Here is a 13245-nt window from a genome sequence, read left to right as displayed (position 1 = left end):
AGAAAAGAATGACACCAAATGTCTTCTCTTAAGTAAGTGGAAGAGCAGGATGCTATTAACTGAGATGGGAATGACTGTGGAGGAAGCAGATTGGAGATTGGGCATGTTATGTTTTGAAATGCCTGTTAGACGCATCCCAGGAGAGATGTCCAGCAGGCAGCCAGATGAAGGGGTCTGGAGTTCAAGAGAGAGATCCAGGCTACAAATACGAATGCAGAAGTCATCTTACAGGTGATATTTAAAGCACTGAGAGTAGACACGATGAGGAACAAGTACCCTGAAACACTTTGCTTAGAGTTTGGAGCGATAAGGAATTAGCAAAGGAGACTGAGAAAGACCAGGAAAACCAAAAAAATGAGGTGCATGTGTGTCCAAGCAGTCCTGTAAAGAATGTATTTCATGGAGGGGACTTACTGACTGTTAAATGCTGCTGGTAAATGAAGTAAGAAGGGAGTGGGTCCTGACCATGGGCTTCGGCAAGGAAATGCTACCCGTGGCCCCGAAAAGCACAATGCCAGTGAAGTACGGTGAGTTAAGGTGCAAACTTGACTGTGATGGGCTCAGGATAGAATGGGAGGGGAGATGTTAGACCTAATGCATACAGATGACTCATTCAAACGTTCTGCAGTAAAAGCAAGAAAAGAAACTGGCTAGTAGCTGGAAGAGAAATCAGAGTCAAGAGAGGATGTTTTTATTTAATAAGAAAAATAATAACTCATATGCCAGTGGGAATCAGGTAGAAAGAAGAAAATAGATGACATAGGAAAGGGAGGGAAAATTTCATACAGCAATGTCCTTGAGAAGGTACGTGTAGATGGAGATAGAACATCATGCCCAAGGAGGTGGGAGCATGGGCACAGACGCAGGCAGGTGGTGGGTGTGCTGGTGGCAGTCTCTACTGATTATTTCTGGGGTTTCTGGTGAAAAAGGAAACAACCAAGTGTAAGGAGACCATGGATGTTTGAACAGCAAGTAGAAAGTATGCAACAGTTGTCTGAGAGAGTGGTGGGAATGAAGAGACAGTGGAAACACAATGAGACTGCCAGGTAGCATCAAGGGCCCACTTAAGATCTGTGATCAGCTTAGAGTGAGACAAACAATATGGTGCTGTGGTATTCTCCAAGCACATTTGGCCTCATGGGTGCAAGCACAGAACAGGTGAAGAGAGGGAAGGATTTAACCAGAACTGTGATTTAGTCAAGCAAGAATGACCAAGCCTGAGGGGTCAAGGGTGATAAGGATCTATGCCATGGTAGAGATTACAGTGGTTGATCGTGGACTCCAAGCTGGGGAAGGGGAGAAGTGAGGACATGGGGTGAGTGTGGGTCCGTGAAGACGTGATGGATTCAATGGACTGAAAAACCTGGTGGATCAATGGACTATTGAGGTTGGAGGTACCACATGAGGCTTGCGAGAGAAGAGGAAGTGGTGATAAGAGTGGGATGTTTCAAAGTGAGTGATGGAGGCACTGAAGTCACCGGTGATGAGAGGATCAAGATATGACCGTGGGATGGAGTGAACATGGGGACTGAAATCCTGGAGAACTCACAGAAGTAGTGTTGGAGACAGGGACAGTGAACCAGAAACAAAATTTTTCAAAGAAAGAGGGGAATGACCACGTGGAAGAGCAGAGGACTAGTGACAAGGAGGCAAAGTGGGCCATGCAGAGACCTGAAAGTCAGAGGAGGTGGCGTTTCAGGAGAAGGAGGAGCAGCACTATGAAAATAGCATAGACGAGGCTACCCCAGCTCTACCCATGGTGTACGGGAAAGATGAAAAAGGGTGGCCACTTGAGACAGCTGAAGGAGGGGCAGTACTGCCAGGAGAGACCCAAGTGTCCAATAAAGCAAGGAGATGAAGGTCATGCTCCCAGACAAGGTGAGGAAGTGGGGGGTTTGCTGATGACTGATGGTGAGCACACAAACTGCACAGTGAAGGGGCTTCATGAGTTCCCTAGGGGAGGGAAGCAGGATTGGAAAAGCTGAAGTAAAGAGGCAAATGAGGATCAGGACACAGGAGTGAGAGATGACACGGGAGTCCAGGCTTCCTATGGTGACTGACATAAACGGGAATAAGACGTGTGATGAGATTGCTTCTGAGGGTCAAGTAGAGATTGGTGGAGAGGCTGGGAGTACAGAGGTTCCTTGCCAGGAGTAGCATCACAGGGATCCCACTTGACCCCTACTAAGGAAGGTGAATGGCTGAAGAAGGGAGGGAGGATGAAAAGGTACAGACTTATCCCTTGTTCATGGATCAGCAGAGGGACATTTTGTAAAACTGGCTTGTCCAAAAAAAAAAAAAAAAGCAAAAATACTGATTTTAGCTAACTCTCTGAGTAATTACGTTCAATCCTCTATGTGCAAAATAAATTTAAATCCTCTCTAATCCCTATTCTGCATTTTTTAAAATTATAATTCAAACTACCCAAAATTTCATCAACTCCAGGAGAGTGCATGAAAACACACACCGCTTTAGAGTGATGCACTGGTCACTGGATACTATAAAACATTCCACATTGAGGAAACACCCAATGAGGTGCATTCTTCTCTAAGTGCAATCTTAAAAAACATCAGAACAAGAAGAAACAATGCTTAGGCTGGAGCGCTTTAGAAGGATTCTTAGAAGGAAGCCGTGTGCTTGTTTTGTGTCTGGAAAATAAGATTAGACAGATAGTTGCATCAGATTTCCTGACAGGATTATTAGAGTGCAGTTACCACAGTAACCAGTAAACTACGTGTGCAGCTGGAGGAGGAGGAAGGTAGAAGGCATCTTTTTCAAAAACAATTAAATCCTATAATTTTAGAGCTGGAAAGGATTTCTAAAAGCCCTGTAGTTGAATCCTTTGCCTAAATACCCTAGACAGTATAAAGTATTTAAATATAGAGAAACTATAAGAAATACCCTTATAAAAATCATCCAAAGAGAAAAATAAGATGAAAATGAAACTTTTTGGTCATGAGTTGGGAGGTGCTAGAAAACTTAGTAATAATAAGTACATAAAATAAAGAAAGATTTCAAGCCTAACTAGAAAGAGGCAAGAACATACACTTAGCCCTTCCTATATGCTAAGTGTTCCCTTTTCACTAATCCTCAGAATAATGTAACACTGTTACAGATTAAGTGTCAGAGCTGGGATTTGAACCCAGGTAGGCCTATCCCAAAATCAATGCTGCCTCCTAGAGACTCCTGATGGCCCAGTCCACAAGTCCACAGGTGAGCTGCAGTAAGAAGAGAGCAGCGAGAAAGCAGGTGAGCATCCAGCCTGCCTTGGTCACCAAACAGCTCAGTGGCTTAGGGAAAGTCACTCCCATCCTCTCTGAACCCAAATTTCTTCATCTGGAAATGAGACTAAATGACCTCTTCACAAATGGAAAACCAAAGATCCAAATAAATCTCTGGCCTAGTTTCAAAGATACCAAATCACATTCTCAGAGGAAAGCTTAATGATCGAATCACCCCCTGGTGTTCCCATTCCATCTGAACCATTCTTATGCCAAAGTCTCTCCCATCTCACACCTACATTCTTCTAAATGTGGGCTGCCCACTAGCTAATGAACAGACTCACTGCAGCTTTCAACAACTAGCCATAGTAAGTTGCTAGCAACTAGCCCTGAATATTTAAAGATATCAACTTCTTTCAAACAATGCTTCCCAAACTTTTCCGCACCAAAGTGCACCTGTGCCCCCTCCTCCGCCTTTCCAGTGTTATTTCTGTTCTCCATGCTTCCTCACAGATCATCATGGACTTGGTTGAACAATCTGGATCCAAAATGTTCTCAGAACCCTGTGGAGAAATTCTGTCGGGCTAAGAGGCTTAAATTCAGTTAGAAAAACTATGTCTGTCTTATTACTTCTCCAACATATTTTTGACATTCTGAGTTTTCTGTTGTTGTTGCTGTTGTTTTGAGACAGAGTCTCGCTCTATTGCCCAGGCTGGAGCAGCGGCACAATCTCAGCTCACTGCAACCTCTGCCCTGCAGGTTCAAGTGATTCTCCTGCTTCACCCTCCCAAGTAGCTGGGACTACAGGCGTGTGCACCACGCTAATTTTTGTATTTTTAGTAGAGACTGTGTTTCACCATGTTGGCCTGGCTGGTCTTGAACTCCTGACCTCAGGTGATCCACCCGCCTCAGCCTCCCAAAGTGCTGGGATTATAGGCATGAGCCACCATGCTCAGCCGGCATTCTGAGTTTTCTATATATAAAAGATAGATAGACAACAGGAGTTAAAAGGCTATGCTCTATGACTACCCACAGCCACCATCAGTTCCACTCAGATGCAAATATATTCTTTCCTTATGACTCTGAACACTTCTTTCAACTACTTTTTTTTATTGTCTCTGGCACCTTCTGCAAGTCTCAGATCTCTCTGGAATCTGACTACCTCAACTTAAATCCCAGCGCAGTTACTTAACTAGCTATGTAAATGACAGCAAATACCTAAACGCCCAAAGCCTCCCGTTTACGCCTCTGTAAAAGGGCAATAATAATACCATCTACTTCATAAGGTTATCATGAGATCAAACAAGGATGTGAGTGCTTAGAACACTGCCTGACACACAGTATATTAACATGAGCTAAGATCACTGCCAGTCCCTCCTGATTGTGAGCCTTCTATCTTGTGTGTGCTTCCTTTTAAGACCTAAGTTCATTAGAAAACTGCCACATTGTGACACTCCTTCCTTTTGGTACTTACCCCTTATCTTCCACAAGGGAATCATTTATTACATGGTCAGAATTTAAATATCTCAGAATTTCCTAACTCCTTTCCTGTCTTCTGGACTCTGATCTGTCACTTAGCAATTCTTACACGACTTAAAAAAAAAAAAAAAAAAAAAAAAAAACCTTCATTGACAGCCTTCTCCAGCTTTCCTTTGTGAGGTTTCTTCTACTGACCCACTATCCTGTACATTGAGGCATTTGGATTTCCCCTCGTAGCATGTAGTTCATGGTCTGCTGATCTGCCCGGAGTAATTAATGCTCCTGTGGCCAACAGCATATATCTCAAAGATAGGTGGCCAGGGTTTGGGGTTCAATCTTACATTATGGAACAAAGCTACATGAATTGGCCTATCTGGGCATTATGTACTCTGCTCTTTGGTCTCTTTAAGTGTCATACCCTAAACCAATGATCCAATATTCTTGGCCTCCAACCAAAAGCAATACATTCTAATCAGATTGTTCTTAGCCATTTATAAACTCCTACAAGCTCAGGGTTGTCAAATAAGGAATATTCTACACTCAAAACGTTGTGACAAAAACACTGGTTCAAAAATAGCAATCATTTTAAAAGGCATTAAGCTACACACTGAACACTGAAGGTTTTAATGGAAATTGACTTTAGAAGTAAGGAGAACCCTCTGCTTCCTTACCACGTGGCTTGAAAAATAAATGACACTCTAAATGAAGGTCTGCCCAACTGGGTTAATTGGGGAGAAGGTCAGATTCAGATGCTCAATCAAATTTCTCTTTTAGTTCTATTTAGAAAATAGTCTCTGACTAGGGTAAGGCTTAAAGAAAACATCTTAAGGATATGGGCAATGGATCTGCAAGAATGGAAAAGTAATAAGGAGCCGAATAAATTACAAAATCGATTATTTCTTCATGCTCGACAACAATGCAGGCAGACTAGGCATGATGTTGGGATCTTGGAAAGTGGGGAGGGGCATCTACAGCCAATTCTATTTTAATAAAATCACCATAACCTCCACCACGTACTGAGTATGTGCCAGAAAATGACTATGTGAAGTATTTTATATTACACCTCATTAATCTTTATAAAGGCCCCAATGGCACAGGTTATTGAGGCTTAACACAGGTAAGTAACTTGCCCAAGGTCACACTGAGCAGGGTTGGGATTCAAACTCCAAAGCCTTTAATCACTGCCCTGCATCTACACCACTATCCCTGCATCTGGACACCCACTGCCCAGCCAGAGGCAACCTGACCCTGCTGAGAACTGAAGCTTCTATCTGGTATCCTTTCCAGTACTGGACAGCACAGCCAAAAAGACCACAAATCTGCCTAAGGCCACACTGCTGGGAGATACTTTTGTACTCAAGGAAGAATATCTGAGATATCTACTACCTGAATACCCAAACAAGGAAGAATACTGAAAACTGGACAGACCCCATGATAGGAATCAAAGATCAGCCCAGAAAAGGATTGGGCAGAATTCATAAAAGGAAAAAGATGTCCTTCCCCTGTGCTACATTAAAGAAATAACCTTGTGTCAAGGAAGACTCTAATTGACCCTCCACAAATCTCACTATGGAAGAAGAGAGAAAATAGGGAAAATCTAATCCCAACCTCATACGCTAGTCAGAACCAACTAGTTATCTGCAATGTCCAGAACTCACATATTCAAATGACTTCGCAAGAGGACTCAAATAGCTAACAGGAAAATATTCTCCTTCCCAGGCTAGGCTTATTGGAGATAGTGGGTGTGTATGAGAGAGGTGACGCTACACCACCTGTCCATAATACAGGTAACAATTTCTTGATTTTCACCTCCTTGAGTTTGTTGTGGTCATTTTAATTTATTTTATATTGATGGGGACAAAAATGGGAACAAACTAAGAAAAAAAATCATGAAAAGGAAATTCTATATTTTTTTCATTCATAGAATGTATACATTTCATCGAAACTATAATATAGCCTTTAGGGACCCTCATAGGAGGATTCATGCTGGCAGAGACTCAAATTCAGAAACAATGGGATCACCCTTCAACTCTCAGCATATAAAACTTATGTGCTGGTTCTTTTCATTTTATGTAACTTTCAAAGTACAAAAATAGCACAACCCAAGAAGCAACATTTAAGTGTAAAATCCTTCCATAAACAGAACAACTCATTCATCAAAATAGTTTGTTATAACCGAATCAATGGCCCACTTATTGGAAAAGTGCTAAACACAAAGAATTTCATTGAAATCAAATTTTCTGAGCTGGCTCTATAAAGTAAGTGCAATAACTACATTTGTTCATAAGTAATGACATAATGGCAAAACTACTACCAAAAGTGTAAATTCTCCTAACAAAACTAGTCAAGAAATAAAAAAAAAAAAAAAAGTAGGACCAGCTTTTTTGAGTAAAACATATAAAAGAACTACTAGGACAATCTGTGGTATAATCTGCATGCTATTTCCATCTTATGCACAGAAAATGAGGACTATGATCTGACAAGAAACCTGTGCAAGACAGAGTCTACCAAGGGGCAAAAGTTCTGGAGACAGAGCTTAGCAGCACACTCTCATAGCAAGTGGAGCATTGTACGCCTGTAACATTAATGACTCAGTATTTGTAACTATAAAATACAGTGCCCCTTTTTTTATACTACCACCTTTTATTTTATTTTTTTTTTTTTGAGACAGAGTCTTGCTCTGTTGCCCAGGCTGGAGTGCAGTGGTGCAATCTCGGCTCACTGTAACCTCTGACTCCTGGGTTCAAGCGATTCTCCTGACTCAGCCTCTCGAGTAGCTGGGATTATAGGCATGCGCCACCACGCCTGGCTAATTTTTGTATTTTCGGTAGAGACGGGGTTTCGCCATGTTGGCCAGGCTGGTCTTGAACCCCCGACCTCAGGTGGTCCACCCGCCTCAGCCTCACAAAGTGCTATGGAAGAAGGGGGAAGATAGGGAAAACCTAACCCCACCCTCATACGCTAGTCAGAACCAGCTAGTTAGTTCCTAAAGCCAGATTACAGGAGTGAGCCCACCATGCCCGGCCACTAACACCTTTTTGTTAAAAAATGTTTTTCATATCTTTAACTGAGCCAAAATATTAGTCGCTAAATGAAGAATTTACAAAAACTCCTCACTATATCACGTCCACTCTGACCAAACATGATTCTTTGTTAAGAGAACATTTTCTAGTACTTCATTTTACTATGCAACAAAAGAATCATTCACTGCATTGTCTTCATTCCTGGCTGGCCTCATTCACTCCACTTGAGGAGCCTCTGACCCACAACCATCACAATCGCCCTTCACACTTGTGTTTTCTCTATAGCACCTTTCAGAGAACACCACCATACAGTTCAGAAGTCAATGATGCCATTATGGACACGGATCTGTTCGAGGATGTTGGCTGGTTACACCATTGTGTGACAAGACAATTACCTTGACATTCAATTTTTTAGAGTTGGTCTAGATTTCATATTTCTCCCAACATCCTTATATTATATAGAGGTGAGATCATCAAGGTTAGAAGACATATGCCCGATTACCGTAATACAACTAAAGAAACAGAAATGTACAAAGAAGTCTCATAGTTCACAAATGTTAAATGGGTCTTATGCAATCCTCAGGAAATGTTATTCAGTGTGAATATATGGGAGAAAATACTGGAAGCTCAACCATCAACATTTGAATTTGGAACAGATACAGGGCTGATTTGCAATAAGATACTTATTAACTTACAAGGAGAGCTGTATGGCAATAAGGAAGTAGAGAAATGCATTTGGCTATCTCTACTTTGTTTTAAGCACTAACAAATGATAAGCATTAGTTTCCTTAAGCCTCATGACATCATACTCCAACATAATATATGCCCTGACAAATAAGTACTGCACTTATTCAAGCAGGCATATAGTTTAAACACAATATATTTATGTTCAATTGATACGCTGTCTTTTTAAAGGGCAACTGTGCCAAAACTATAAATGTTAGTGGAAAGAGAATTTCAAAATGAAATTCCAAACGGCTTGTGACTCTGAGGAAAATATAAAGTTTACAGATACATACATTGCTCCTTAAAGGGTACATCTGAAACCCTAATTGAAATAAATCATTTTCTGGAACAAAGCAGGGCATAACTTAACAAACACTAAAATAAGTGTTCTGTGTTTCCTGACTTTTTTGTTTCATTTATTCAAGTAAGCAACATTTATTGAGTGCCTACCATGTCCTATGTACTATAAAAGGGGCCTGAGGGTACAAAAATGGAATCATACTGGTTTTCCAGGCTTAAAAGCTAGTAATACTAGATTGTGAGCAACAGGATGTTCGTATGTGCACTTTCATGAATGATTTACATCCATTAAGTCATTTAACCCTAAAACAACCTTAAATACTATTAATTAGAGATGAGAGCTGAAGCCCAAAGAAGTTAAGTGACTTGTCCAACGTCACACAGCTAGGAGCTGGGTTTGAACCCAGGCAACCTGAGACCACAGCCCACACTCTTCGCTACCATACTGCCTTAGGCTGCTCACAGGGGAGGTGAGTAGAGTACAGTCTGTCACTGGAAGGACTTCCTAGGGAAGCACATACAGAAGCTGAGTACTAATGGCTGAAATGGGGAGAGGAAGGTATTCTGGTCATAGGATGGTGCAACAACCTACAAGCATGGAGGGATGAAACCTGTCACTGTCAAGACAGCAAGTAGTTCCTAAAGCCAGAATGAGAAGGGTGCATGCAAACAGGAGAGGAGAAACAGCTAGAAAGCGAGACAGGGGGCAGAAAACAGTACCTAAAATCTGGGGGTTGGGGGAGACATTAAAGTTTTTATTTTTATTTTTTTTCTCCTGGAAATATGGAAGATGGGTGGAAGGGGGATGAACTAGGAAGCAAGTTGCAAAACAATCTAGGGCCTAAACTGAAGTAGTCAAATGGCCGAGAGACTATTTCATTGGGCCAGCACAGTAACAGAGCAGTAACAATGGCCAACACAGTAACAGAGCAGACAGAGATCCCACCAGGAGTGATTAACTTAGACACACATACTCTTCCTATAAAAGACACGTACAATTCCATATAAGGTGAGTTTCATTGCCTACAAAGGATGTAGAAACTAGAGACAATAAACAAAAATCTGGATGCCAGCACGGGGCAGGGGAAAGCGCATTGAGCATGGACTCAAGGCTTTAGCGCCCACCCTGCCGCCCCACAGTGAGCACAGCTCACCTGGCCACTCAGGTGCTGCGTTCTCTGAAATTAGTCTAGAAATGGACTGTAAGAACCCTTCTTGTACAGACAGCCTCTGAATACCATTTATCACTTGGGGACATGTCAGAATTAGTAAAACATGTAAAATATCTTCATCCTATTTCTCTCCTTTATTGGTTTATTTTAAACAATTGTTCACATTTAAGCACAGCTTCAGGAAAATCACAAGGAGATTAAAAACAGTACAACTATACACAGAAAATATATCTTTTTAAATATACATTGCATCAAAATGGAAATTGCTTAATAGCATTTTCCAGAATATAGAATTTTTAGAAACCTCATTTCATTTTCATAATTTAACACATCCTTATAATTTAAAGCCAGGAACCCAGAGTGATTATGCATTCCTTATCTTATAACAAAATCAAATCAACAGAGCTGCATGCTTTTCGGGATTTTCACGGATTAACTATCCATCTACAGAGAAAGCCTTAGTAATATACAAGAACTGGAATTACCAGTTGCAACACAAATTGCAATTTAAAACACACACACAGAGATCAGCACAGATGATTCCCAAGGAGACTTCCTACGCTTCATTGAAAGAAAAAAGCATAACCCCATGCAGGACAGTGAAATGAACAGAAGAGACAGGAAACTGAGTTTTTCCTCCAGACTAGCTCTTATTTGCATGACCTCAAGCAAGTATCTTAACCTATATAGAAACCTTTGTAAAGACAGGCTATTTCCAAGGACGGTAGCAAAGACGAAATGACAGAAGAGGTGTGAAGGGCCTATGGTTTCAGATTGTTACTGTTCATGCTTCAGAAAATGTCACCGTCTCCAGCAGCTCACTTCCCAACTTTGATCAGATGTAGTCAAGACTGGCCAACTAAAGATTTGCCAGCAAATTGCATCCCTTAGATCTGTGAGAAGCTGGCCTTTCCAAAGACCTCAGGTTAACACTGTGCTTAGTAGACTGCCACAGAAGGGTGCTGTTAAAGGTTCATCTCAGAACTAAGACTTTTTTAAAAGAAATCACAAGATAAATATCTACCAACTCAGCAAATGACTAAATAATATAAAATTAATTAAAAATTAATAAGAACTATTATATCAAGTACCTAGTTGAAAAGGTTTTAAATGATAACAAAATCTACAATGAGTTATCATCAAGGATCTGGGTCAGTAACAGGGAGAGAAGCAAGAAATGTGGGCATGGAGATTAGTTAAGCTGATAACTGCAAATTCCCCCATTTGATTGAGATGTTAATGGTTAGCAGTTGGTAGAAGAAAACAGAATTTATAAAAGCCAAAAAGCAATTTATCCTCTAGACAAATCACCAAGGCATAAGAAGAGAGACAGCCAGGGAGTACAAGTTCACATAACTATAATACATTCACTCTCTCTAAGTAATTAATCGGTATAAGTGAATCCGAATATATTTTTAAGGTAGGGTGGGGAAACCAAGGTACTCTGTGTGTCCAGAATCAGGAAGGCCTCTGGCCCCATGGCCTCCCTGACTCTGTTCCGGATACCTCTGCCTCAGGAAACCTTGCAGCTCATAGCGGCTACCTAACAAATTTCTCATCTTTAATACCAGGATCACTACTCAACCCTGAGCTACAACAGCCACCAGGGGTGTGTTGAACTGAGTCTTTGAAGAAAGAATAACCACTTTAAGTGTTGTCCTGCACACACATACACGTGGACTCACAGAACACCAGCAGAGGAGAAAGAATACAGGGAAAGTACATTCTAGGATCATGAAACTTATCATTGGTGTGATGCTGAGAAAATCTCTGAGCCAAAATTCATACCTAAGCATAGATAATATCTGGTACTAACATGTTAAAATACTAGGAGAAGAAAAAAGGCTTTTGTCTCCTTAACAAGCTATAAAACATCAGGAAGTAATGACAGTTATATGGAGCCTACCAGTTTTGCCAGAAATAAAGAACAACTCACCCATCCCCACTATGACTACAAAAAAATGACAACCTGTTATAGCATTTCAAGCAATATTTCAAGCTGGGTTCCAACTGAGAGATATTTATAGATGTCCCATTTAAAAACAAAAAAAAACCCTCCACTGTCAAATAGATTTGGGGAACACTGTTTACTAATCCTCCTCTTAAAGAAGCACAAAACATATTTTTATTTATTTACACAGTGTCTTGCTCTGTCACTCAGGCTGGAGCGCAGTGGCACAATCTTGGCTCACAGGAGCCTCGACCTTCCAGGCTCAAGCGATGCCCCTGCCTCAGCCTCCCAAGTAGCAGGGACTACAGCTGCACTCATCACTGATTTTTCTGTATTTTTTGTATTTTTTGCAGAGAAGGGGTCTTGTGATGTTGCCCAGGCTGGTCTCGAACTCCTGGGGTCAAGCAATCCACCCACCTCAGCCTCCCAAAGTGCTGGGATAACAGACATGAGCCACTATGCCCAGCCGCATATTCATTACAAAGGCTCATCTGAAAAGTTCTGCTGTCAAGAAATTTCTTTCTTTAAATTTATTTGACCAAAGAAGTTTTACTCACTTAACACCTTTAAGCGCTGGCATTCCAAGGGATACAGTGTAGTAAACAGCAGGGAGGGGACTTTCCACATTTCTGTAGAATCTCTGCTTTTCTGGGCAAGGTCATCAATCTGTACTATTCAGATGGACTTCCTCCACGTAGCAGGAATCACATCTGAGTGTAAACCATTTAGTCTCTCCAGCAGAAAAAGAGAGCCTCTCTCTTCAAGGCGGTATTTCCCTAGACCCCAATGAAGGACTCTTGGGTCATATGTCCACCCCCTGGACTAATCACTGTGGCCAGGAGACTATAGCACAAAGGCCAGCAGGCACGGAAGTATCAGGTCTTTTGTGGCTGAAGAAGCTGAAACCATAGTAGAATCACATGGTTGCTGTGGACATGAGAAGTTCCCTAAAAGAAGTGTGTGTGTGTGTGTGCGCGTGTGTGTGTGTGTGTGTGTGTGTGTGTGTATGCATGTTTGCATGGTGGGTGGTGCTATGGAATGGAGACAGAATCTCTACCCTGAGCTCTGGAAAACTAAATGACATCTCCATTTGGATATGTAACAAGTATTACAAATTAACATTTCCCAAATGTTTTCAGCTGTCCTTCCCTTCTTCCTCAACATGTCCCTCAGTTTCAGCAAAAGTCAGTATCACATACCTAATCAAAACCTGGGAATCGTCCTGGATTCTTCTTTTTCCCTCATTCCCCACTTTTGATCATCAGCAAATTCACTTGCTTCTACCTTAAAAATACATTCAGAACTCACCCACTTCTCTACACCTTCACTGCAAACACTCACCCAAGCCACTATTATCTCATACCTGGATGAGC

The 13245-nt window shown here is 41.4% G+C and overlaps 1 protein-coding gene and 1 long non-coding RNA gene across 21 annotated transcripts in view, besides 1 other annotated feature; one reads left to right on the top strand and one right to left on the bottom strand.

Moving 5' to 3' along the window:
* The window catches only part of CARMIL1 (capping protein regulator and myosin 1 linker 1), a 341157-nt gene that overhangs the window by 274910 nt on the left and 53002 nt on the right, over window positions 1–13245 (bottom strand). The window lies entirely within an intron of this gene.
* LOC124901281 (uncharacterized) overlaps window positions 1–13245 on the top strand; it is a 124485-nt gene that overhangs the window by 106570 nt on the left and 4670 nt on the right. The gene's annotated exons all lie outside the window — the stretch shown is intronic.
* Window positions 3066–3798: an enhancer, noted in NCBI's record as "OCT4-NANOG-H3K27ac hESC enhancer chr6:25342051-25342783 (GRCh37/hg19 assembly coordinates)". NCBI's record gives its function as "activates a minimal SCP1, AML or CMV promoter by ChIP-STARR-seq in primed H9 embryonic stem cells {active_cell/tissue: H9 hESC(primed)}" and the evidence as "EXISTENCE:reporter gene assay evidence [ECO:0000049][PMID:30033119]".

This window comes from Homo sapiens, chromosome 6 (genome assembly GCF_000001405.40).
Source record: "Homo sapiens chromosome 6, GRCh38.p14 Primary Assembly".
Classification (NCBI taxonomy): Eukaryota; Metazoa; Chordata; class Mammalia; order Primates; family Hominidae; genus Homo; species Homo sapiens.
Note: the sequence above shows the minus strand (reverse complement) of the source record. Positions and strands in the feature narration are given on the sequence as shown.